The 23,134-nt window shown below is 44.6% G+C and overlaps 1 protein-coding gene across 33 annotated transcripts in view; it reads left to right on the top strand.

Annotated features, from left to right (window-relative positions):
• MYT1L (myelin transcription factor 1 like) overlaps window positions 1–23,134 on the top strand; it is a 542,163-nt gene that overhangs the window by 387,196 nt on the left and 131,833 nt on the right. For 24 of the 33 annotated variants that reach the window (NM_001303052.2, XM_011510326.2, XM_011510324.3 and 21 more), the window contains 2 exons: window positions 746–1,098; window positions 20,817–21,794. In NM_001303052.2, coding sequence (NP_001289981.1) covers window positions 746–1,098; window positions 20,817–21,794 — 1,331 coding nt within the window. The remainder of the gene's footprint in view (window positions 1–745; window positions 1,099–20,816; window positions 21,795–23,134) is intronic. The other 9 variants (NM_015025.4, NM_001329847.2, XM_017003612.2 and 6 more) reach the window with 1 other exon arrangement.

Genomic DNA, 23,134 nt, shown 5'->3' with positions numbered 1-23,134 from the left:
AAGATTGTGAGCTTCTGCTGTAAGGAAGGGTCTCATCCAAGCCTGGGCCAATTTCAGCGTGATTTAGTGGTGATTACCGCTAACACTGAAGTTGTTTTCTGGAATGCTGGCGTGGGACTAATAACATCTAAGACTGAGGAAGTTCTGCAGAACTTTGAATGATGCAGTTGCTTTCATACAACATTGACAAGCCCTAGGGCTCATCTTGTTTCAGGAGGTTATCAAGTCTAAAGATATAATTTAATCCATAAAATATACAAATCCAAATATATCCAAAGCTCTTTCACGACATAGACATTTTTATATTTTACATAAATATATATGTAAATATAATGTGATTAAAATAAATCTTGCTTCAGATGTATATTATACATAGTATATATTTGGTAAAATGTTTCATAAATTTGTATTGTCAATTACATGTTATACACATTATGCAAACCAATCTCATGAATTTTCGTAGGATCTCTGGAATTATAGGAACGAGGAACTAGGAGACTTGGACTAAATGTGAATGGTAACTAGACAAATGTGAGCGGTATTTATTTGCACTATCACTTCATTAACAGATTTCAGCACACTTCGGGGAACATGTATGTTATGTCTCTCTGGTGTTTGTGCTGATGACATTCATGATAAGCCTTTAAGTACCTTGATCAAGGCCCCCATTGGTCTGATTTTAAAAGACAGTAACACAGATATTTTTTTTCTCTCTCTCCCCTGCCTTCTCTATTTTTTTAATTAGTGTATATGGTTGTCCCTTGGCGAAAAAAAGAAAAACACAAGATAAACAGCCCCAGGAACCTGCTCCTAAACGAAAGCCATTTGCCGTGAAAGCAGACAGCTCCTCAGTGGATGAGTGTGACGACAGTGATGGGACTGAGGACATGGATGAGAAGGAGGAGGATGAGGGGGAGGAGTACTCCGAGGACAATGATGAGCCAGGGGATGAGGACGAGGAGGACGAGGAGGGGGACCGGGAGGAGGAGGAGGAGATCGAGGAGGAGGATGAGGACGATGACGAGGATGGAGAAGATGTGGAGGATGAAGAAGAGGAAGAGGAGGAGGAGGAGGAGGAGGAAGAGGAAGAAGAAAACGGTAATCTTTAAAATATTAGCAAAGTAACAAGTCGTGATTTGGGTCCACTGTTCAAGGTGAATTGCCGGCTGTTACTACGAATGACTGGCATATAAAGAAATTGTTCTTCTTGGTCAATACTGAGAAAATTAACCTCTTATATGAACTGAACACTTCTGTTAAAGAATTCTTCAGATTCTCTGTTACACTTCAGATTTTATGTCAGTCTAATTTTTATTCAGTTTGGTTGTCAGTAATTTACTGAGATATTTATGGTGTACTTTTTTGATTAGCTTAACAAAATGTATCAAGGAAGTTAAGTTAGCCGACCTGGTCTTTAATTTTACATTTTCCTGAATGCTGTATCCATGAGATACAATGATTGGGCAAAGGGCAAAACAGTGTTGTTGGAATGGCTTAGCCCAGGTACCTCCTCAGGGGAGTTGGAAGTCCTGCCTAATGACTGGTACATCAACCAGCAAAGTGGGTTTTGTCTGTAGATTGCCAAAGCTTTGCTTGAGTGATGGTCACATAATTGGGATGAAAGGAAGTAGTATTGCTACAAGATAATCAGCCGGTCATCTGCTTCCATATGTGAGAGCTGTTTCTGATCTGGGGTTTCCGGTGCTCTGAGACATGCCAGGGAGAAGGCCGCCATGCTGTGTGTTGGGAATGTTCCCGGCAGTGCGTTTACGGTGACATGGCTTTCATGTCCAGTGTTCTGTTACTATCCGACGCACAATACCACTTCAGAACTAACCCTTTCATAGAAGTCATTTCTTCTGAGGAAAGAGGTGGGAGTTTTGTGGTTTTGTTTGTTTGTTTGCTTGTTTGTTTTTTTGCAAAGCCTAGCTATCATCTTTATTGGCTTAGGGTTTTCCTCATAGAAATGCCCAAACATGTTGTAAGTGAAGGGAATTTTCTTTCTTGCCCCTCTCCCTTGGGCTCAAAAGTTCTTCAAGAATCTGATTACCAGGAGAACTAATTTCTGGACACAAAGGGTAGTTGTTTCAGCCAGTGGGTAGGGCCTCCATACATCAGGGAGATGTGAGTTGCTTGTTGCTAATCTCATGTGCAGGCTTAAATTACCACTCCTCCTTCAGAAGTCAGAGGAGTTTGTACTAGGAAACCTGAATTTTATGAAATAATCCTAGATTGTTACAGTGGCTTAAGATTCCTATGCAAACAATCCATCACTTACTTACATGTACATATATACACAGGCACAGATAGATATACAGAACATAGATAGATATGTATATATACACATAGATGCATATGTACACACACATAGATAGATATGTATATACACATAGATGCATATGCACACACACATGCATTACATAAATTAAAATTAGTCTCCCAAGATTTTTTGTCTCGCTATGGTAGAATGCTGGGTAGAGAAGGCCTATCAGAACACCTATCAACAGACTTACCATCATCGCTATTAAATCTACCAGGGACACAAGGCACCAGTGTCATTCATGAGATGCTAAGAATTAAAATAATAGATTTGTGTAGTAAAATATTTGGAAAGTAGATCAACCTGGCAAATTATTTCTGGACACTGTATTAAGTGAGTGTCATTTTGAGTGACTCATTAATTGTGGAGGCTGATTAATGATTTGTAACTTGCCCAGGGCTTACTAGAAAGATGGTATACAATGTGGCTCTTTCACGTTCTCACCCGTTTGGAAAGCAGGAGGCATTCATGTTTGGTGCGACGGATTAAGATAGGAAATCTGTAAATAGGTATCGTTTACACCAGGGGCCTTAACCAGGTTTTAAGTTTTGCTCTTCATTTTCTAGAATTAAAAATTCAATTTTAGTTTATTTATGGTCAAATGTAAATATTTCTTTAAAAATAAAAAGTGATGTACTTTGAAAGGTAGTCAGAAGCCTTATTGAAATAGCTTTAGAATGTGACTGCATAGGGTTTGTCTATTCTCACTTGAACACTTAGGATATAATTGTTTTTAAACGCTGGAAAGCAAACTAGAATTAAAGACATTTTTGCCAGAAAAATGCAAGTAAATGGGCACCCAGTGGATGTGTGACAGCACCGCCAAAGGAGCGACTGGCTGATCGTGCCTCAGGACCCAGGATTTCTAACTCTGCGGCCAGACCTGGCATGGTGCCCACCACTCATGTGGTCAGCAAATGCTGAGTCCAGAGCACGGAAGACAGGAGGTGCTGAAAGCAAACACTTGTGAAGAGGTAGCAGGACCATGAAAGAATTCATAGTTAATTGTGGGGTGCCTGGTTTCAGAATTCATGTTCAGCAGCTGGCTCCCTAAGGAAATAACTTCTATTATCACCTATGACAGGACTTTTAAAGGAATCAAGTGAGCTACTCAGGAAGGTGCAGCCACAGGGAGATGTTGAGAGATAACCTACCTGCTAGCAGTGTGAGACAGGTGCACCCAGTTTACTGAGCATCCTGGCAGGGTGCAGCCACAGGGAGATGTTGAGAGATAACCTACCTGCTACCAGTGTGAGACAGGTGCACCCAGTTTACTGAGCATCCTGGCAGGGTGCAGCCACAGAGAGATGTTGTGAGATAACCTACCTGCTAGCAGTGTGAGACAGGTGCACCCAGTTTACTAAGCATCCTGGCAGGGTGCAGCCACAGTGAGATGTTGTGAGATAACCTACCTGCTACCAGTGTGAGACAGGTGCACCCAGTTTACTGAGCATCCTGGCAGGGTGCAGCCACAGGGAGATGTTGAGAGATAACCTACCTGCTAGCAGTGTGAGACAGGTGCACCCAGTTTACTGAACATCCTGGCAGGGTGCAGCCACAGGGAGATGTTGAGAGATAACCTACCTGCTACCAGTGTGAGACAGGTGCACCCAGTTTACTGAGCATCCTGGCAGTAGAGCGTGATACTCCACTCCCTTTCAGAGAGCCTCTCATGAGAATCCCAGATCCCAGGCAGCCACTTAGAAACAACAGCATTTGCATGCCCTTGCGGGGCCCTTCCACCAGGTTTCCATTGCCACAGATTCTCTGGAGGGACACCGAAGGCTTGTTTGATTTCTAAGGCAAACAAATGCATTTCTCCTAAGACATAATCACCTGAGAGGCCTGACTCCTGGAGACACGCTCACGAAGGCTTTCTCTGGGAGAAGGACGTCTCCATTGGAGGAGCCCCACGTGGGTGTTTCAACACCCCATTTAGCCAACGTCACCTGCAGGTACTCCAGCTGGATGGAATATCTTCTAGTCTCTTATACCCCATCAGGGTCAGAAATCTCCAAGCAGCTTCTATATCAAAGGAACAGGATAACTGTTGATAGAACAGTCATTTTACGTGATCAAACTCCTAGTTACGTTTAATGTATTAAAAGGAGGCTTTGAAAGGCATACATCAGCCCATCTCCTGTTTGAATGTTCTCACTTGTTGAGCACGTTACTCACTTGTTACCTCACTGTTAAATGTAGTGCCAAAATCACTATCAACAAATGTAAATGTCTGCCATGACAGCAGCATCTTTAATGTGAGATGTGCAGCGTAAGTACGGGAGATTCCATACGGTGCCTACCAGAGACGTCCTTTTGTCCTCCCTTCCAGTGGCTTGGCAGAAACCATGCACTCCCTAAAAGCTGGGGGGTCCCATTCCTCTGATCGCTGGAGTTCTGGGTCAGCATCCCGAGGCTGGCCTTTCATGTTCCTTGGGTGACACTCTTAGTGACTGCTATGTCCCTGGGCCAGCAACCGATTCCCCTGCAGTTGATTGTGCTCCTTTTCTAACACAGAGAAGCACAGACGAGACCTGAGATTAAAAGGAAGCCACGTGGCCAGAGCACAGAGCGGAGTGTGACTCCCGCGCCCATCCTGCGTGGCACAGGGTGGCCGTCTGAGTGCAGAAACCAGGGCGTCGTGACGGAACTGCTGGGACAAGGTCATGCTGGCCTCAGCCTTGCGAGTAGAGAGAAAGTCTCAGGCGATTTATCCCGGCTGGATGCCATTATTTGTTCATCCAGTCGGGTATTTTCACCTCTATAGTAAACTGAAATGTGGACTTTACTAAGAGGTTTTGTTTCAGATAAAACAAATGTATACAAACCCCCAGATTATTACAATAGGAACCCACAGGTTATAGAAGGACTATTGTTTATAATTTAAGATTAAGTATTTATTTTAATTTCAAGGATCCTCCAGCATTGTTGCTTATATGAATCAAAATAGTCCTAATAATGTAAGTTTCCAATAGGCATATTTAATCACATTATTGAATTTGATCTTCACATTGATTGCATAAGATGGGTAGGGCAGAAGCTCTTTTACTCTCATCATACAAATTAGAAACTGAGGCTAATTAAGATTATATTATTTTCTGTAGGTGGGGGATAGGTAATCAAACACTTTGCATGGTTTTCCTTGTAATGGAACTCGTGTTCTCCTGATCACCTTCTGCTTATTTGAACAACAGGGGATAATACCTGAGAAACTCATTTCAGATTAAGTTCATATTTAATTAAGCAAAGTTATATTTATTATACGTAGACCTACCATAGGCTGGTCTTTTGCATGAAGAATTTTGTTTTCAGAATACATCATTACAGTCTAAGTCTGCACCAATTAAAAATCCCCTTGTTATCCTAAAGTTAAGAAAGTTATTGTTCAATGGCCATAGATTTTTCTATTATCAGATCTTTTTATGTTATGATAAATATTTTTTGGATTCATGTGATTTGAGAAATATATAGTAAATGGATATATAATACCTAGCAAGGTATGGTTTATGTTCATACTCCAGTCCACTAAAATATCTCTAAATCAATGTATACACACACATACATATATTCTTTATAGCAGACATTGCATCTTCCCTTAGACAGGAATCAGCATTTCCTGAGGAAGAGCCTAGCAATGTGCTTTCTAGACTAAAGAAAGCTTGCGTGTGTGCAGCTGCCTTTAGCACATAGATGTTGCTTTAAATGCTCTGTTTCTGGAATACTTTGGAGAATATATGAGGTTCTTTCTTCATTACTCTTTACTGAATCTCAGGGCTGCCTTGCCACTTGATCACGGGGCTAAATCCGGTGACACGCAGGTGTCTTCCTTTTCTAAAGTCTTCCTGGCTTCCTGTATCGCGTTCTCCAGATCAGTGACCCAAAGGTGTGCGGTGGTGTCCTGGGCTGCTGGCCTCTGAGGAGGAGGGGCTGCTTGAGAGGAAATCTGTGTGGTCACCTTAGGGCCTTCTCCACGTGCGATCTGATGGCCGCGGACATTAGGGCCTTCTCGACTTGCCATCTGATGGCTGTGGACGTTAGGGCCTTCTCGACTTGTGATCTGATGGCTGTGGACATTAGGGCCTTCTCGATGTGCGATCTGATGGCCGCGGATGTTAGGGCCTTCTCAGTGTGCGATCTGATGGCTGTGGACATTAGGGCCTTCTCGACTTGCGATCTGATGGCTGTGGACATTAGGGCCTTCTCACTGTGCGATCTGATGGCTGCGGACATTAGGGCCTTCTCGATGTGCAATCTGATGGCCGCGGACGTTAGGGCCTTCTCGACGTACGATCTGATGGCTGCGGACGTTAGGGCCTTCTCGATGTACGATCTGATGGCCGCAGACGTTAGGGCTTTCTCGCTGTGCGATCTGATGGCCGCGGACATTAGGGCCTTCTCGCTGTGCGATCTGATGGCTGCAGACATTAGGACCTTCTTGATGTGCGATCTGATGGCCGCGGACGTTAGGAACTTCTTGATGTGCGAAATGATGGCTGCAGCTGCTCTGGGCAAGGCATGGAGGCCGCCCTGAGGCAGAGTCGATGTGGGGGTCAGGGGAGTCGAACAGGAAGCAGGGGCTGCTTTTGTTGGAGGAGTGTGCCCTGACTCTTCAGCCAGCTGTGGGATCACCATGGCCAGTAATCTGTGCCTGTTCCATTCTAGTATCAGGCTCTGTCCTCACTGTAAATCAGTCCTGTGCATGGGACAATTTTCTAACGGGGTGTTTCCACTCCCCACCTTCTTTTTTAAAGGGAATTCAAGGCAGAACTCATGCTATAAAAATTCCTTCTCACAGAAACATTTCTTTTCTCATGGTAAAGTTCCCAGGGTGTGTTTTCTTTCAAACAGGATGAGGTGCTAGCCCCAAGTTGCTAGAGCATCCTGGTATTTGTGGAAGACAAATTTTCATAGGCTTGAGTTTTCACAGGAGGACAGCATGGAGGGGGTGAGGGGTCTGCTGTGTGGCCTCTGAACTCCCCAGCTTCCCTGCAGGACACCATTCTCCATATTGATTAGCCAATTATCCTCTCCTGTCTTTCTCAGGGAAATATCCCTGATGAGGAAAGCAAGTTGAAACGCAGACAGACTGTGAAAAGCAGAATTAGCCAACCAGTTTTCACTGCAGTCAGCAGAAAAGGCAATGAGTTCTGAGACCAACATAGAAACAAAGATCATATGTTTGGTATGCGAGGCTTCAACCAGAGGAAGACTGTGGACACAGTTGGGAGAAAGAATATGATGATTTGGTATCATCTTAAAACTAACCTCTCCCTGCATCCACGGAGGCATTTTTAGGACATGGCATGTGCAGCTACGTTGAAGTACATGGCACTGCATCTTGGGAATGAGTAATCATAGAATTAGACATTTTTAGGTGTCAATATATGATTTTAAAAAACCTAAACTCTCTTCATGCAAACTGTGCTAAATTATAGAAATATAATTTATCCTATTTTTCATAAACCTTCAGGTACTTTGATACAAAGCAAAAATCTGGCTGTAAATATCATGCCATGTACATTTAAGATGCAGGTAGAGGACGGGTGTGGTGGCTCACGCCTGTAATCCCAGCACTTTGGGAGGCTGAGGGGGACAGATCACCTGAGGTCAGGAGTTTGAGACCAGCTTGGCCAACAGGCCAAAACCCTGTCTCTACTAAAAATACAAAAATTAGCCGGGTGTGGTGGCACATGCCTGCAATCCCAGCTACTTGGGAGGCTGAGGCAGAATAATTGCTTGAACCTACTTGGGAGGCGGAGGTTGCTGTGAGCCGAGATCACAGCCTTGCACTCCAGCCTGGGTGACAAGAGCAAAACTCCATCTTGAAAAACAAAAAAAAGATGCAGGTGGATGCATAAAGTCCTGGGGAAACTCCTTTTAGCATGATAATGAAAACAGAAAATGTAAGATAGTGGGGTCGAATATGTTTCTGTTCAATTTGCTTATAAAGTCCACTCTAAGAAAATAACAGTTTATCTGCTATGCCTTGTGAATTTAGGTTTCATTCCAAGTTCTGGTTTATCCACGGGTAGATGGAGTTGAGGAATGAGGTGTGTTTCCAGCTCTGGCTGTGTCACATGTCCTAAGCGAGTCACCTAGCTTCACTGGACCTCAGTTTCACTTAAGATTAGGATAATAGTACGTGCCCTTCCTTCACTTCGCTGTCTTATTTTGAAGCTTAAAGAAGTTGCAGAATATAAAAACGATTGAGAGATGGGAAGCAGTTCAGAACCATAACATCACAATTGTGATTAAGGACAATTTCAATATGATATTATGCTCCCACCCATTTATTCATGCTCTTCTGTAACCCTGAACCTAACATCCATGACCCCCTCCCCACACGCAGCAAGTATATCATGTATATTAAGGCTGCAAGAGTTTAAAAGATTCAGAATATCATGACAGCTCATTTCAAAACACGGTGTGTTTTTTTTCTCTGTGCCCAGAAGGGCACTGGGTTGCATGCAGACACAAAACTAAACAGAGTCACCATTTTCTGGAAGAAATACATAATACAGTATGGAAGAGGTGTGTATATAAAAAATACAAAGCATGGTTCTTTACAGGGGGCAGAATTAGAAGTCATAAACTGAGGTGGAGGCTTTAAGTATTTGATTTGAAAATAAAAACATACATTTCTGAATACTGAGGCTCACTAAACTTCAGATTGCTAAGAAAGTGGTCATGTTGTCTCTGCAAGCTCTGCCGAAGCAGATCAGAGTCTTCTCTTTGACACGGATGAAATATGGAAGACTAGAGACAAAGAGAAGGAACCCTGATGTCCTCTCAATTTCCCTCCCAATCTAGCACATTTATGTGAGCAGCCACCTGTGTCTCAAACCCATTCTGGAAAACAGAAGAACCAGAATTTTCACAGTCTTATCTCTGCTCCCCGGGTTCCGAGCACTGACAATAAAAGCAATCACTCTGGGGACAGGGAGTCTTCACGGTCATCCAACTGATCCAGAAAGTCTTTGACCTGTGCCTGTGTGTGTGTGTGTGTGTGTGTGTGTGTGTGTGTGTGTGTGTACATGACAGAGACAGGGGGTAGGGGGAAGAGAGAGAGAAAGAGAGAATGAGACAGACAGAGAGACAGAGACAGTGGTGTAATTCGTTCGAATGTTTCAGTCTGTCTCTATCTGAGTAGCTGTTGACTCCAAACAGCTCATTCTCTGGGTGGAAGAATGTGACTCTTATTTTTTTAATCCCTTAATTTATGTAAGCCAGATACCTAAAATGTCATCAAATAAAAAGACCCTCAAAGCTTTATAAATAAATGAGACTTCATGCATTCACCTTTTAGCTCATAGAAAGGACAGCATTGAAATCACTGTAGCACACAAGAACATGAAAGCGCTGTCCCACATGTGTGCTGCTCTGCTGGTGGGCCGTTTATAGAAAATACATGTCATATGAATACATATCTATAAATTACATATATGAGGTTGTATATATATATATATATGTTATAAAAATCAAAATCAGGCGGGGGGCTGTGGCCCACGCCTGTAATCCCAGCACTTTGGAGGCCAAGGCGGGAGGATCACGAGGTCAGGAGATCGAGACCATCCTGGCTAACACGATGAAACCCCGTCTCTACTAAAAATACAAAAAATTAGCCAGGCGTGGTGGCGGGTGCCTGTAGTCCCAGCTACTCCAGAGGCTGAGGCAGGAGCATGGCGTGAACCTGGGAGGCGGAGCTTGCAGTGAGCCGAGATCGCACCACTGCACTCCAGCCTGGGCGACAGAGCAAGACTCCATCTCAAAAAAAAAAAAAAAAAAAAAAATCAAAATTAGAGCCCAGCTCCCTCTGAACTTCCACCTCTGCATCCATGCTGGCCAACATGGCAAACCCTAGACCAATGTGTTTATTTAAATGTAAATAAGTTAAATTCATTACAACTGAATAATGTTAAAAATTCACTTCCTCGCCACACCAATCGCATGTGGGTTGGCCTATGTGGCTCATGGCACTGTGCTAGGCAGTGTCCACACAGAATGTCCTGTCACCTTCTATAGCACACCTGGGCACTGGGCACCCTGTCCTGGGCCTGTTGCCACTGAGCTCAGTGCAGTCTCTTCTCCTGATGCTCCAGAAACCCCATCTAAACATGCACACACGTGTGCTTGAAGAGCCACACGCACCACAGTCTCCTGTGATCTGTTCCAGTCTTTGGATGAGGCAAATCACTTCAGAAAAAACTTCCCTTACACATTAAGCCACTGGGTTCCTCTTTCTTTGAATCCAAAATTGTTCAGTCTTCGGAAGAATTCAGAAAATAAATTTTTGTTCAGTGTTCAAAGTGAAGCGACATTAACAACTTGAAGCCAAGGCATCCTCACCCCTCTGCGTTTTTTTCTGGCCCAAGTTGTGTTTTCCTCAGCCTAGGTGGTATTTCTTCCATTTTGGGGCTAGAATCTGTGTCGCCTGAACTTCCTCCGAGTAGAAACAGAGATACCTAGGGACCAGGTCTTCTCTATCACCTGGGAGCCCTGGGGTAATTTCCGTGGCTCTCTGAGCTCTCACCTGGGTTCTCTGCAGAAGGGCCCTGTCATCTCGGTGGGGGCTGTGGAAGCTGCCTGGTCCATTAGACCAACATGAGTTGGATTCCTAGATGTATGTCCTAGCCATATGACCTTGAACTCCTCCTCAGATCCATCCCTTCATCCACAGGATGATGAGAACAGTGTGAGGTGTGAAGAGTGTGTCACTCAGAGGTCCTCCGTGAGCCTCCAGGGAGCCTCCCAGGCACGCTGACACAGGCAACCTGGCTTCTGCCTGCTGGTGCCATTGTTCTCCTTTAGACTGTGCATGTGGTTGGCCCAGGCTTCCCTGGCTTCAGCAGAAGGCATCCAGGGTTGTGTCTTGATGCCAAGTTGGTGTGTCCCAGCCTCAACCTCCCAGCCCTCCACCTGCCCTTCCAGCACACTCCACCAGCACGTGGCTCCACTGCTCCTGGAGCTTCAGGCACACAACCCTGGGCCTTGGCACCCTCTCTTTCCTCCCCCAGAACACTCTCCCTGGCATAGCTCACTTTCCCACCTCTTCAGATCTCTGCTCAAGTGGCACCTTCTCAATGAGGACTTGCCCGACCCCCCATCCCACGTACTGTCCGTTGTCTTTTGATTTTGCTTCATTTTTCGTGGAACACACGTCACTATGTGGCATCACAGTATTTATTACTCTCTATTTTTACCTCTTTCACCAACTGCAATGGAACAGCCATGACTACAAGGATTCTGTTTCTTTGGTTCATTGTTCATCTCTAAGTGTGACAATAAACAGCTGTTAAATGAATAACTATTATTCTGTTAGTTCCCTCCTCCTCCCCCCAGTGCCATGCCCAGCAGAGCTTGGTTGTGCAAAATTGTGATCATTACATTTCTCTTGGATCTGATAAAAGGGTTGTGCTACATTGCCCTCTCCAAAGACTTTGCAGTTTTCAGTTTGATGAAAGTATCTAGGCACCTCCATATCTCACCTAGGTAAATACATGGCTCATGGAATTTCATAAATGCCTCCTATCTTAAATAGACGTTTTCCTCCGTGCCTCAATTCCCTGTGTAAGATCATTCTTCTGAGAGACATGTTGTTGCAGCTTAATCAGCTGTGGGGGATCTTCCAAAACCTGAGCCAGTGCCTCTCTAAGGCTGCTATTACCTCACACCATCAATGGCCATGGGAGTGTAGGCAGTGTCTGGCCTGCATGCTTCCTTTCGGTCGTCAAGAAGGCTTTTGGGCAGTGACAGGAACCGAGATGACTTTAGAAATATGTGACTTAGTGGGGCATCCTCACGTATGTGTGAAGGGGGGACAGGTGCCTTCCTGGGTTCCCTGAGCCCTGCACTGAGGGCGTGGACAGGAGTGAGGTGATGCACGCTCCTTTCCTGGAGTTGAGGAAGGCATTGCACCTGCTGCACGGAGTAGATTGATTTACAGAGACAGAAAGCAAAAGACAGCAGCCGATGCAAAGGCACAGGGAAACAAACTTCAGTCCAGAGAATCCCTTCTATTGGTGGATAAGTAGGTCGAGCTCCTCAACGCACAGACATTTATGGTAATGAGACGGAGGCCCAGAAATAACCATACAGAGAACAACACACACAAAATGGCTGGGAGTGTATTTTGGGTAATTTTCATATAATGCACCAAAACCAGCTCCCCAGTAATTAGCACCCAGAAGAACAAAGAAGCGACCACACAGACCCTGCAAGGCCCAGCAGACGTGGGCATCACTGAGGGTGGAGGAAGTACTTGGAAGGCGCAGCAGACGTGGGCATCGCTGAGGGTGGAGGAAGTACTTGCAAGGCGCAGCAGACGTGGGCATCGCTGAGGATGGAGGAAGTACTTGCAAGGCGCAGCAGACGTGGGCATCGCTGAGGGTGGAGGAAGTACTTGCAAGGCGCAGCAGACATGGGCATCGCTGAGGGTGGAGGAAGTGTCTGCAAGGCCCAGCAGACGTGAGGTATTCAAAGTGCGCACTAGGCATCCTCTCTGGCACTGGTATCAATCTCTCCAGGTGTGTCTGCTTCTCTGTCTGCCACGGCAGATGAGGAGCAGAGGGAAGGCCCAACCTGGGAGGGGAGATTTCCCCCAGGCCGGCCCCACCCTTCTCCTCTCTAAGGGATGAGTGGTGAACTGCTGTCTCAGCAGGACCCGAGGCCATGACAGGCCATTTTCCCACATGCAGGGTGTGTGCAGACAGGACCATGGACCTGCACAATCTCCAAAAGTCAGAAAAAACAGTGGCAAAATGCAGCACATAAACCACAGGTCCTCCGGCCCCTCTAGTCAGTGTATGCAGTGCGGGAAGATGGTTACTAAGATGTAGTATTTCTGCTTTTCTTTGTTAAAACAAACATCCTGGGGAATTATGCTTATGACCTGGGTGAAAACTAATCTGTACAGCAAACCCCTGCAACACGCGTTTACCTATAAAACAAACCTGCACATGGACCCCCGAACCTAAAAGTTTAAAAACATGCCAGTCAATCCTAAATATTTTTATAAGCAATAGGGAAATCATATTCCAGACAGCATTCATTTTAAACAACTCTTAAGAGCAACTTTGAGTATTTTATCAGTATCTGAAAGCAAAATTCAGATACCTCCTCACCTGTACTCACAGCTCCCAGCAGCCCAGCGCTGTGCCCTCCTCGTGCCCAGCAGCCCCGACGCTTCTGCCCGCAGGACCTGGGCAAGGCGTGTGTGCCATCACAGAGGATCTGATGTGGGTACCTCACCAGTATTTGAAGCGTTGTGATTGCAGGGAGGTCGTTATGGTAGGAAAACACCCTGTGGTTTAGAAGAGAAAGAAAAAAGGAGATCAAGGTGGAATCAGATTATGTCTGCATTTATTGAGCAAAAGAGGCAAATGAGTTATCAGAGAAGAGAGGGCCCCCACAGGGACCACAGGGGTGCCTTGAGAGGCAGGTGTGCCGCTCTGCTCCGTGATATAGTGCCACTCCAGCAGTTCAGTGAAAGAATCGGGGCGCCCAGAAGTGGGCTTTCCAATCAAGTGACAGGTATTGAGGAAGAGATCTGGAATGTGTCATGTAGCACTTAGTGCAAAACTCAGTCCCTCCGTTCCATCCCCAGCTGTAGTTCTGTGTCCTTCCTGAGCGCTTACTCAAATTAGGGGTCTGAGGAAGGGTTCTTCTTGAGTGGAGCTGCCTTCGGGCGGGCCTCCTTGTCTCTCCAGCTGAGGGAGCATGCAGGACATGAAGCCGAGATCTGTCTTTCTGACTCGAAGCAGATGAATGCCTGCTAAACACGGATCTTCCTATGTCTCAGAAAATTATCTTAGAGATGACACTGCGTTGTGACCCTCCGAATATGTCCCGGTTTTGAAAGGTAGAGGAAAGGCTTGAGATGTAGCAAAACCAAGATGGCAATTCTAGACTCGTCCCTGTGGAAGGAGTATGAATGGCAAGCAGGTGACTTCAACTCCCAGGACCTAAGTTTCTTCACATATTAAATTTTGAAGGCATGATCTCAATAATTCTATCTAGCACTAAAATTCAAAGAAAATGGCAATGGCCGGCACTGGAGAAAATGTCTGTGCTAATCTATACTCAAGATGAATAAGACTAGTGGGAGCTTCTGCTGGGAGAATTTTAACCTCTGTTAACTCAGAAATCACTGAACTGTGCATATGGACAGACTATTCTGAAAATTTCCTATGATACTGGAAATAAGACACACAGAAGCACTGCTGAGTTAGATGTAGTAGGGAAGCGTGACGGTGATGGCTAGAGCGGAGCCAGGGACAGTGCGGCCTGGCAGGGAAGACACGTGCATCCCACTGTCAATGCCGCGTCACCCTCCATGTTCCCCTTTCACCTGCGTTGAACTGCAGGGCTCTGAGTTAGAGGGCGCCTCAGGGGTCTTCTAGTGAAGGGCCTCACTGGCAGTAGAGGATGAGGGAGGCAGAGGAGGGGTGCGGGGATCTCGTGCTGGAAGTGAGAATAGCTGATCCCGGAGCCAGGCCATGTCCTGTGCTGCCGGCAGCTGAGGGGCGCCGAGGTCAGCGCCGCACCTAGGAGAGGTGCCCGACTGAAGGCCACCCGGGCTGGGAAAGTGACTTCTCCCCTCTTATGAAAGGAAAGAGACTGCAGTGTCTCAGCATGCGCCTGGGGCCTTTGAAGCGAGAGGGAAATGAACTCACGCTTCTCCGCCTGGTCCTGGCCAGGGGAGTAGCCAGGGGCTCCACATAAACATGCGACCACTGCCTGCATAAGAGTCAGGGGGTCCAGGCCTGTCCTGTACCCCCAGTTCCCTCCCTGCACATCCTTATCCTGGCTCTCAACTGTCTCCCACCCTCCTACCCATGCAGATCCCTCAGGCTTCCCAGGCACCTGGAGTGGCGAACCCAGTGTCTTCCTGAATATCAGTCCGGAGTCCTGGATTTTCCTAATTTTCTAATCTTCTTTCCACATCAGAATGGACCCAAACTCCACTCATCAGGATCCTGGTGGATGGCAGGCTCACTAAGCTGGCAGTTCCAGCACAGCTCTGAGTGGTTGGTGATACAACCAAGCCTTCAGTCCATAAATCAATGCAGAGTATTGAAAGGAGAAAAAAAAACTCGGAAGATAAATGCAAAAATAGCAACAAAAACATTCCGAATGGTGAGGCAGAAGGGAGCGGCGTTACTCTCTACTATTAAAGTGCTGCATGTCTGGCTAACTAGTGTAGAACGTGCCTCCTGGGAGGCCCTGGGGTGAGAACTGTGCAGGCCTGCTTGCTCTGGAAGTGGAGGCAACACTGTGGAATGTTCAGGACTGTGCTACACCCAGAACTCCAGGTGGCTCCAGCTCTGCTGTTTCACAGTGAGTGATGGGGTAAACTGTCAGCCTCTGTGGTTCTGTACTGTCACCTTTCAGAGGGAGCAGTAGGTGCCCCAGTGCCTCTCATAGGGTCATCAGGGGACCAGACTCAGGTGAGTCAGACTATTCTGTAGTCACCAACTTCATTTCCTCTGCACAGAAGGAAATGTGGTATATGAAACATTTATGACCAGGTGCAGTAGCTAACACCTGTAATTCCAGCACTATGGGAGGCCGAGGCAGGCAGATCACTTTGAGACGAGCCTGGGCAACACAGTGAAACTCTGTCTCTACAAAAAATACAAAATTTAGCCAGGCGTGGTGACACATGACTGTAGTCCCAGCTACTCAAAAGCTGAGGCGGGAGGGTCACTTGAGCCAGGGGGAATGAGGCTGCAGTGAGCTGTGATTGTGCCACTGCACTCCAGCCTGGGCAACAGAGCCAGACCCTGTCTCAAACAAACAAAAAGAAATATATAGATGGTTTATGTGGTTTGGTTTTTTTTCCTTATCATTGCGATTGCTATTAAAACACCATCATCTTTTCATTAGAATGAATGCATTGTCATATTTCTGTATTTATAAGTCAAAATATATTTTGATATTGATTTATTTATGTAACAAAACACCACCTCTGTAAAGCCATAGAAAGCAGTGGTCCTTCATTATTTGAAACTCACTGGAGTGCACCTGCAGACCAGGTCTCCTCCGACCCGGGGAAGTCTAGGGCGATTTTTGCTTTGGAGTACAGTCCCCTCCTGTGGCTTCCTCTATGTTTTCTATTCAGCTGTACGTTTACTTGCCTGGGTCCTGTGTCAGTGACCAGAAAGAACAGTAGCTCAATCAGGACTAGATGTTGCAGGAATCAAAAGTTGTGTATCTTAGGGAGAGACACTAAGAAGCCAAGCCTGTATATAAAGTTGTAATCCAGAGTTCTGACTCTACCAGACTCTAGTGAGGAGGGTGGAGGATAAATGGCCCACAGCAACCACGTTTCTTTTGTTTAAGAAGATGTTTTCATTTTCTAATTGTAACTATGGAGCATAAATTGTTTATAACAATCTGACTCAAAAGAGATAAAATTCAACCCTAAAACGTTTCATAAATCTCACTCATGGAGGTGTTGAAATCTCATGTGTAATGCAACAGAAGTCAGGTTTGTAGAATAACTGGCTGATAGGAAGGAAGAAGAGCCCATGAGATCAGCCACTGAATGGGCTCTGTCTTCTGGGCTCAATTTTCTCACCTGGAGTAGTTGGGCCAGCTCTTCTCTGATTTCCGTGCCAGTGCGGTAACTCTGTGAGTCCACCCAGCGGTCAGCCCCAGGCTGGCCCCCGCTCACAGGAGGCTCCTGCTCAGAGTCTGTTGCTCTGTGGCTTTGCTGGATGACAGATTTAAAATAGAAAACCAAAAAAAGGGAGCTGAGAATGCTTTGTTCTTCTCTTTAAACCTCCATCTAAATATGTGTTTTTACTTAGAACATAAACTTGTCCTTTAAGATAATTTCCTGATAAATTGCTCTTTTATCACACATACATTCTCCCTATTTGATAGAACAATAGTCACTATATAGAAACTAGTAAAATGGAGGCCAGGCTCAGTGGCTCATGCCTATAATCCCAGCACTTTGGGAGGCCGAGGCAGGAGGATCACTTGAGGTCAGGAGTTCAAGACCAGCCTGGCCAACATGGCAAAACCTTGTCTCTACATGGTGGTGCACACCTGCAGTCCCAGCTACTCAGCAGGCTGAAGCAGGAGAATTGCTTGAACCCAGGAAGCAAAGGTTGCAGTGAGCTCAGATCGCACCACTGCACTCTAGCCTGCATGACAGAGTGAGACTCCATCTCAAAAAACAAAAACAAAAACAAAACCTAGTAAAATGGCCTCCTGCTTTTTGAGGTTGGAATGTTCATTTTGTGGATTGTTTGTATCACATTTTCAACCCCAGACTGGCCCAGAAAATTCTGATCTAGTTCCCATAGCCCATGCCATCATGTGACTAATTTCATTATTAGCCTCAGAAAAGCATACCTGGAAGGGAGTGTGTACAACCAGGGAGGGAATCCCAAAAGCTCACTGTGAATGACTTTGAATTCCAGATGAGGCTGATGCCCAGCAGGGATTCAGAGCCTGCTTGTTGATGGATTGACTGGCTGTTCCCCTCCATGAGCCCACATAATTAGGAGCTGACTTCATTTCACATGTGTTTTAAAAGAGTTAAATACCGGTAGCTTGAGAAATTCCATTCACCTGCCAGGCTTTGAGGCCACCCACGCCATCTTCACCCGCCGTCCCCACATTTGCTGCCGCTGGGAGAGGCTCAGATGACACTGAGCAGGAGGAACTTTGAAGAAGGGTAGAAGCACACGGCAGGCTCTGTGCTCAGATGCCAATATGCTTTCCACTGCCTGTTTCCAGATTTCTTCTACCAACGGGCTGCTCTCCCCAGCAGTCGGCTCTGGGGCCAATGATAAGACAGCAAACTGCAGTCTTTAGGAGGCATATCCTGTGACATGGTTCTTGTAGGAGATCTGACAAAGGGCCAGGAAGTTTTACTATCCCCACTGAGCTAATTAAGTCTTGGAGACTTGGGTCACCAGCATCACACAATTAGAAAGCAGCCAAGTCATGATGGGCGCCGAGCTGTAGAACTTCTAATTTCATATCAATGCGGTATGAGGACGAACCGTGCCCTCAGTGTGCTTTGTGATTAGAGTATAAAGCTGGAGATGCATCGGAGGTGGTCCGCGTTCTGCCGGTCTCCAGACGGTTCAGGGACTTTCTCCTTGGCTGCTCTCAGCTTCACCCGTCAGCATGGCTGTGACCCTGTGTGAAGAGGCTTGTCCATTTTTGTTTTAATTTTGTCGGGGGAAGGTAACTTATGAATTGAGTGGAGAAACAGATAAATGTCTGATTATCAAAAAGGTGAGATGTACTTCTTAACTACGTGCTGCTGAAGGGAGAATGTAGGGGGGAACAAACTGAAGCTAATCCTGAGATTTGGAATGTGGAGAATGACCAATGTTGTACATAACACATTTGTAGGAAGGTGAGGAAGTTCATAAGGTGGGAACCAGGACCTGTTCCCCCTGCAGGCTTTTTGTGGCTGTAGAAGCAGCAAGGAGGATTAGACAGGCTTTTTCTTTCCTTGTTCACCACTTTCAAGGTCTTGCTTCTTTTCCAAATTCTTCAGGACCACACAATGAGTTCCATAAAGGAAATGTAGGAGAACATCATGAAAATAGTGTTGCTTGACTGTGGTTTCTTCTTTGACTCAACTTTCAAAATGCTCCAACATGTGGCCTGTGCTTTTTTGTTTTCAAATCATAGCTTATCATTCATCTCGTGGTTGGGTCTTCATAGACATAGTGATTCTGGCTGTTAAAACTTACCTATTGTGCAGAGGTAACACAGCTTGGTTATTCTGAGGAAACTTCTGTAATCACAGCCCATGAATATAACAAAGTGCATAAATTGAGAGGAGAATATTTCCAAATATTAATTAAAATGGGATTGACTTCAAGTCCTAAAAGCTTAAACACTAGGGTATAGCAAGGGGTATGTTGGAGATTAATACTTCCACAATGTTTCTGATTCATTCACTAGTTTGATTTTCTTTCTTTTTGCTGCTCTTGGGGAATACTTTTATCCTTATAATAAAGAAGATGATTTATAGGAATTATCCAGAAGAAGGGCAATATTTGTTTCACACAATTAGCGATTCTCTATGTCTAATAAAAGGTAAATTTGATTTGCCGAAGTTTAGAAAGGTGTGTCAGATCTTAAATATTTGTTCCTTCAGCGTGGGATAATAAGGATATTATTTTCTGTTATTGACATATTGAACTCCAAGTCTTTTTTCCACCAACCTTTTCTGCATAAAATCCATAGAGAAAACACCAGAGCCCCCATATCTCAGTTTTTAGTGTACTGGTATTTTGTAGAGGTCAATATACCTCATTTCTTTAAATTGTTAATAAACTTTAGACATTTTTCTTACTCTGGATTTTTAATCATAAAAACAAAGAACAGATGTGAAAATGGCATGCAGTTAACCAAATCTAATCTAAGGGTACAGATACATTTAGGAACCCTTTTATTATTACTCATATTTTGCAATGTACATGGAAGCAATGACCTAGCATGGTGATTAGAGGTACAAATCCCAAATGCTCTTTGAGTGTGAAACAGAATATGTTTGAGATAAAACATAGGGGTTTTATGTAATTTTTAACATGGTCTTTTTAAAGAGTTTTTCTAAATACGTTTTTGAGATTAAGCATGACACTTACTCACACATTATACCCGCTCACCAAGCTTTTCCTGAGGCTGTGAGATGGAGGAATGTGCCAGCTCTGCCTGTCCAGTCAAACACTGTGCAGTAGCTGTACCAACTTACCTCAACCCCGCCTTTTATAGGCCTTTGGCTGCTGCACGCTTTCTCTCTCTCTCACTTTCAAACCTGTGGAGACACAGACAGAGGAATCAGATTTACTGTCTAAACATTTACTATGGAATTTCTGTTGTTTCACTGTGTATCATGATAAATTGTCTTGAAGGTATGGATTCAAAAGAACTCTTAATTCAGCCCCAACATGTGCTTATGAATCTGAGCTCCCAATGCAGCCGGCACCCCTGCCTGACTCTCAGGAACCTGAGGCTGTCCTCTGTGTTGCCTACACGCCACTGTGAAAATAGACCATTTAAAAGCAATTGCTGCAAACATCTGCTTCAGAGTTGGCAACAAGTAAAGTTCATGAACTCTTAGAAAGCCTAGTAATGTGAGGAGCACAGTTAATACACATCTGGCGAGGCTATAGATAAAGCAAGCCAATGGAGAAAATAAGTCATTCTTGAAATGTATGAAAAATACAAAATTAATTTTTAAAATCATATTTGCCACATTGACTGGTTTATCTTAAGATCCATTAAAGAAATTAATAATTCACAACAAGTATTTTAAATGGCCTTCTGCTTTTTAGCAACATCCGTTTTCTTTATGTCAACTTTTTCAACCCAGCTGCAAATGGGACTTACAGTTCTGTGAGATGATAGACGGTTTGACTTGCAGTTAACGTGCTATCCATGCTGTTGCAACTAAGCTTCCAGTTCTAGCCACTTTTTCCTTTTCTTTTCTTTTTTGTCTTTTTTATTTTCTTTGCAGAAGACCATCAAATGAATTGTCACAATACTCGAATAATGCAAGACACAGAAAAGGATGATAACAATAATGACGAATATGACAATTACGATGAACTGGTGGCCAAGTCATTGTTAAACCTCGGCAAAATCGCTGAGGATGCAGCCTACCGGGCCAGGACTGAGTCAGAAATGAACAGCAATACCTCCAATAGTCTGGAAGACGATAGTGACAAAAACGAAAACCTGGGTCGGAAAAGTGAGTTGAGTTTAGACTTAGACAGTGATGTTGTTAGAGAAACAGTGGACTCCCTTAAACTATTAGCCCAAGGACACGGTGTTGTGCTCTCAGAAAACATGAATGACAGAAATTATGCAGACAGCATGTCGCAGCAAGACAGTAGAAATATGAATTACGTCATGTTGGGGAAGCCCATGAACAACGGACTCATGGAAAAGATGGTGGAGGAGAGCGATGAGGAGGTGTGTCTGAGCAGTCTGGAGTGTTTGAGGAATCAGTGCTTCGACCTGGCCAGGAAGCTCAGTGAGACCAACCCGCAGGAGAGGAATCCGCAGCAGAACATGAACATCCGTCAGCATGTCCGGCCAGAAGAGGACTTCCCCGGAAGGACGCCGGACAGAAACTACTCGGACATGCTGAACCTCATGCGGCTGGAGGAGCAGTTGAGCCCCCGGTCGAGAGTGTTTGCCAGCTGTGCGAAGGAGGATGGGTGTCATGAGCGGGACGACGATACCACCTCTGTGAACTCGGACAGGTCTGAAGAGGTGTTCGACATGACCAAGGGGAACCTGACCCTGCTGGAGAAAGCCATCGCTTTGGAAACGGAAAGAGCAAAGGCCATGAGGGAGAAGATGGCCATGGAAGCTGGGAGGAGGGACAATATGAGGTCATATGAGGACCAGTCTCCGAGACAACTTCCCGGGGAGGACAGAAAGCCTAAATCCAGTGACAGCCATGTCAAAAAGCCATACTATGGTAAAGGTAATATTTCTACCTAACGTAAGTTGCCTCATGAAAACATGAGCTAGGGTAAAGGATGTTGGTGGTAGTCTACAGTTAAAGTGTGACTCACACTGAATTATGTCTCTACTGCACATTCTTAGAGTTGATTCCAGAAGGATATTTTGTGATTACGTTTCTGACAAGCAAATAAAATATTTGTCTGAGAAATACATAAAGCAGCTTAACATCATATTACTAGAGCAGATGAATAGTAGGATATTTCAGTGGGAAATGCATTCCTTGGGAAGACAGGGGTAAAGCACAGACACATCACTTGATAGAAAATATTAGGGTAAGCCTGTGCTATTATAAATGAACCACAATCTATGCTGAGTGGCAAGGGTTTATGTAACAATTAGTCAATCCGAGATAAAGCACACATTTTATAAATTGGATTGGGGAAATGGCATCATGATTTGTAAAATTATCAGCAAGTGACAGTTATTGATGAAACTGCCCTCGTAGAAAACACCCCTGATAGAAATTGAACAGTAACTGAATGACCGATAACATAAGATAAGGGCAGTGACTGCACATTAATTATCTTAAGATAGTAAGGTAATGGAAACCATTTGCTATGCAAGGCATGGTGTGGCCTCAGCTAAGATCAATAGCAATTTCTTTAGGATATTCATTCCTTTTAACTGATTCCATTCCATTGTGGAAACAGTTATGGCGCTTTTCTCAAATATTAATTTATTATAAAACACTCAAAAACTATCCAATATGATAGTTTGAGCTGAGTTTTCTTTTACGAAATATGTGGGCACATGTTTGCATATGTCAATGTATTTAGCTATCTTTACATATATATGTATACTATATGTATGTAAGTAGATCATGTGTATATGTATCTCCAACCTGAATGATTGTCTTCATGTTTGTAAAGAAGACGGTGTCCACTTTCAATATGAGGCAGGTTCTAATTCAGCCTCATGCATAACCTTGACTTTGTGGATATCTCCATCACAATATTCTTTTAGAACTCAGTAAGAAGCAATTTAAAACATGAAATTGGCAGTTCATTAAATCCCTCTATGTTAGCACCCAAAAGATCCTTTTATGTTTTTTATTACATTCTATTCACTACGAATCCTGAGTTTCCTCACTGCGAACCCAATAGTGAGGTTCAGGAATTTACTTGAAAATCAGTTGCTGTATAAATTTCAAGCAATCAGAAAAACTGCACTTTTTCCCACTGTGGCACAGACGTGTATTCTCCTCTCAATGTGTGCACCTACCTTCTGCGGCAAGCTAGGCATCGCTACAGCCAAATGCAAACTGTAGAGGTACCTTAGCCAGAGGCTCGGGGACTCTCG

The sequence above is a fragment of the Homo sapiens genome, chromosome 2 (genome assembly GCF_000001405.40).
Source record: "Homo sapiens chromosome 2, GRCh38.p14 Primary Assembly".
In the NCBI taxonomy this organism is placed as follows: Eukaryota; Metazoa; Chordata; class Mammalia; order Primates; family Hominidae; genus Homo; species Homo sapiens.
This window is presented reverse-complemented; position numbering and strand designations above follow the sequence as displayed.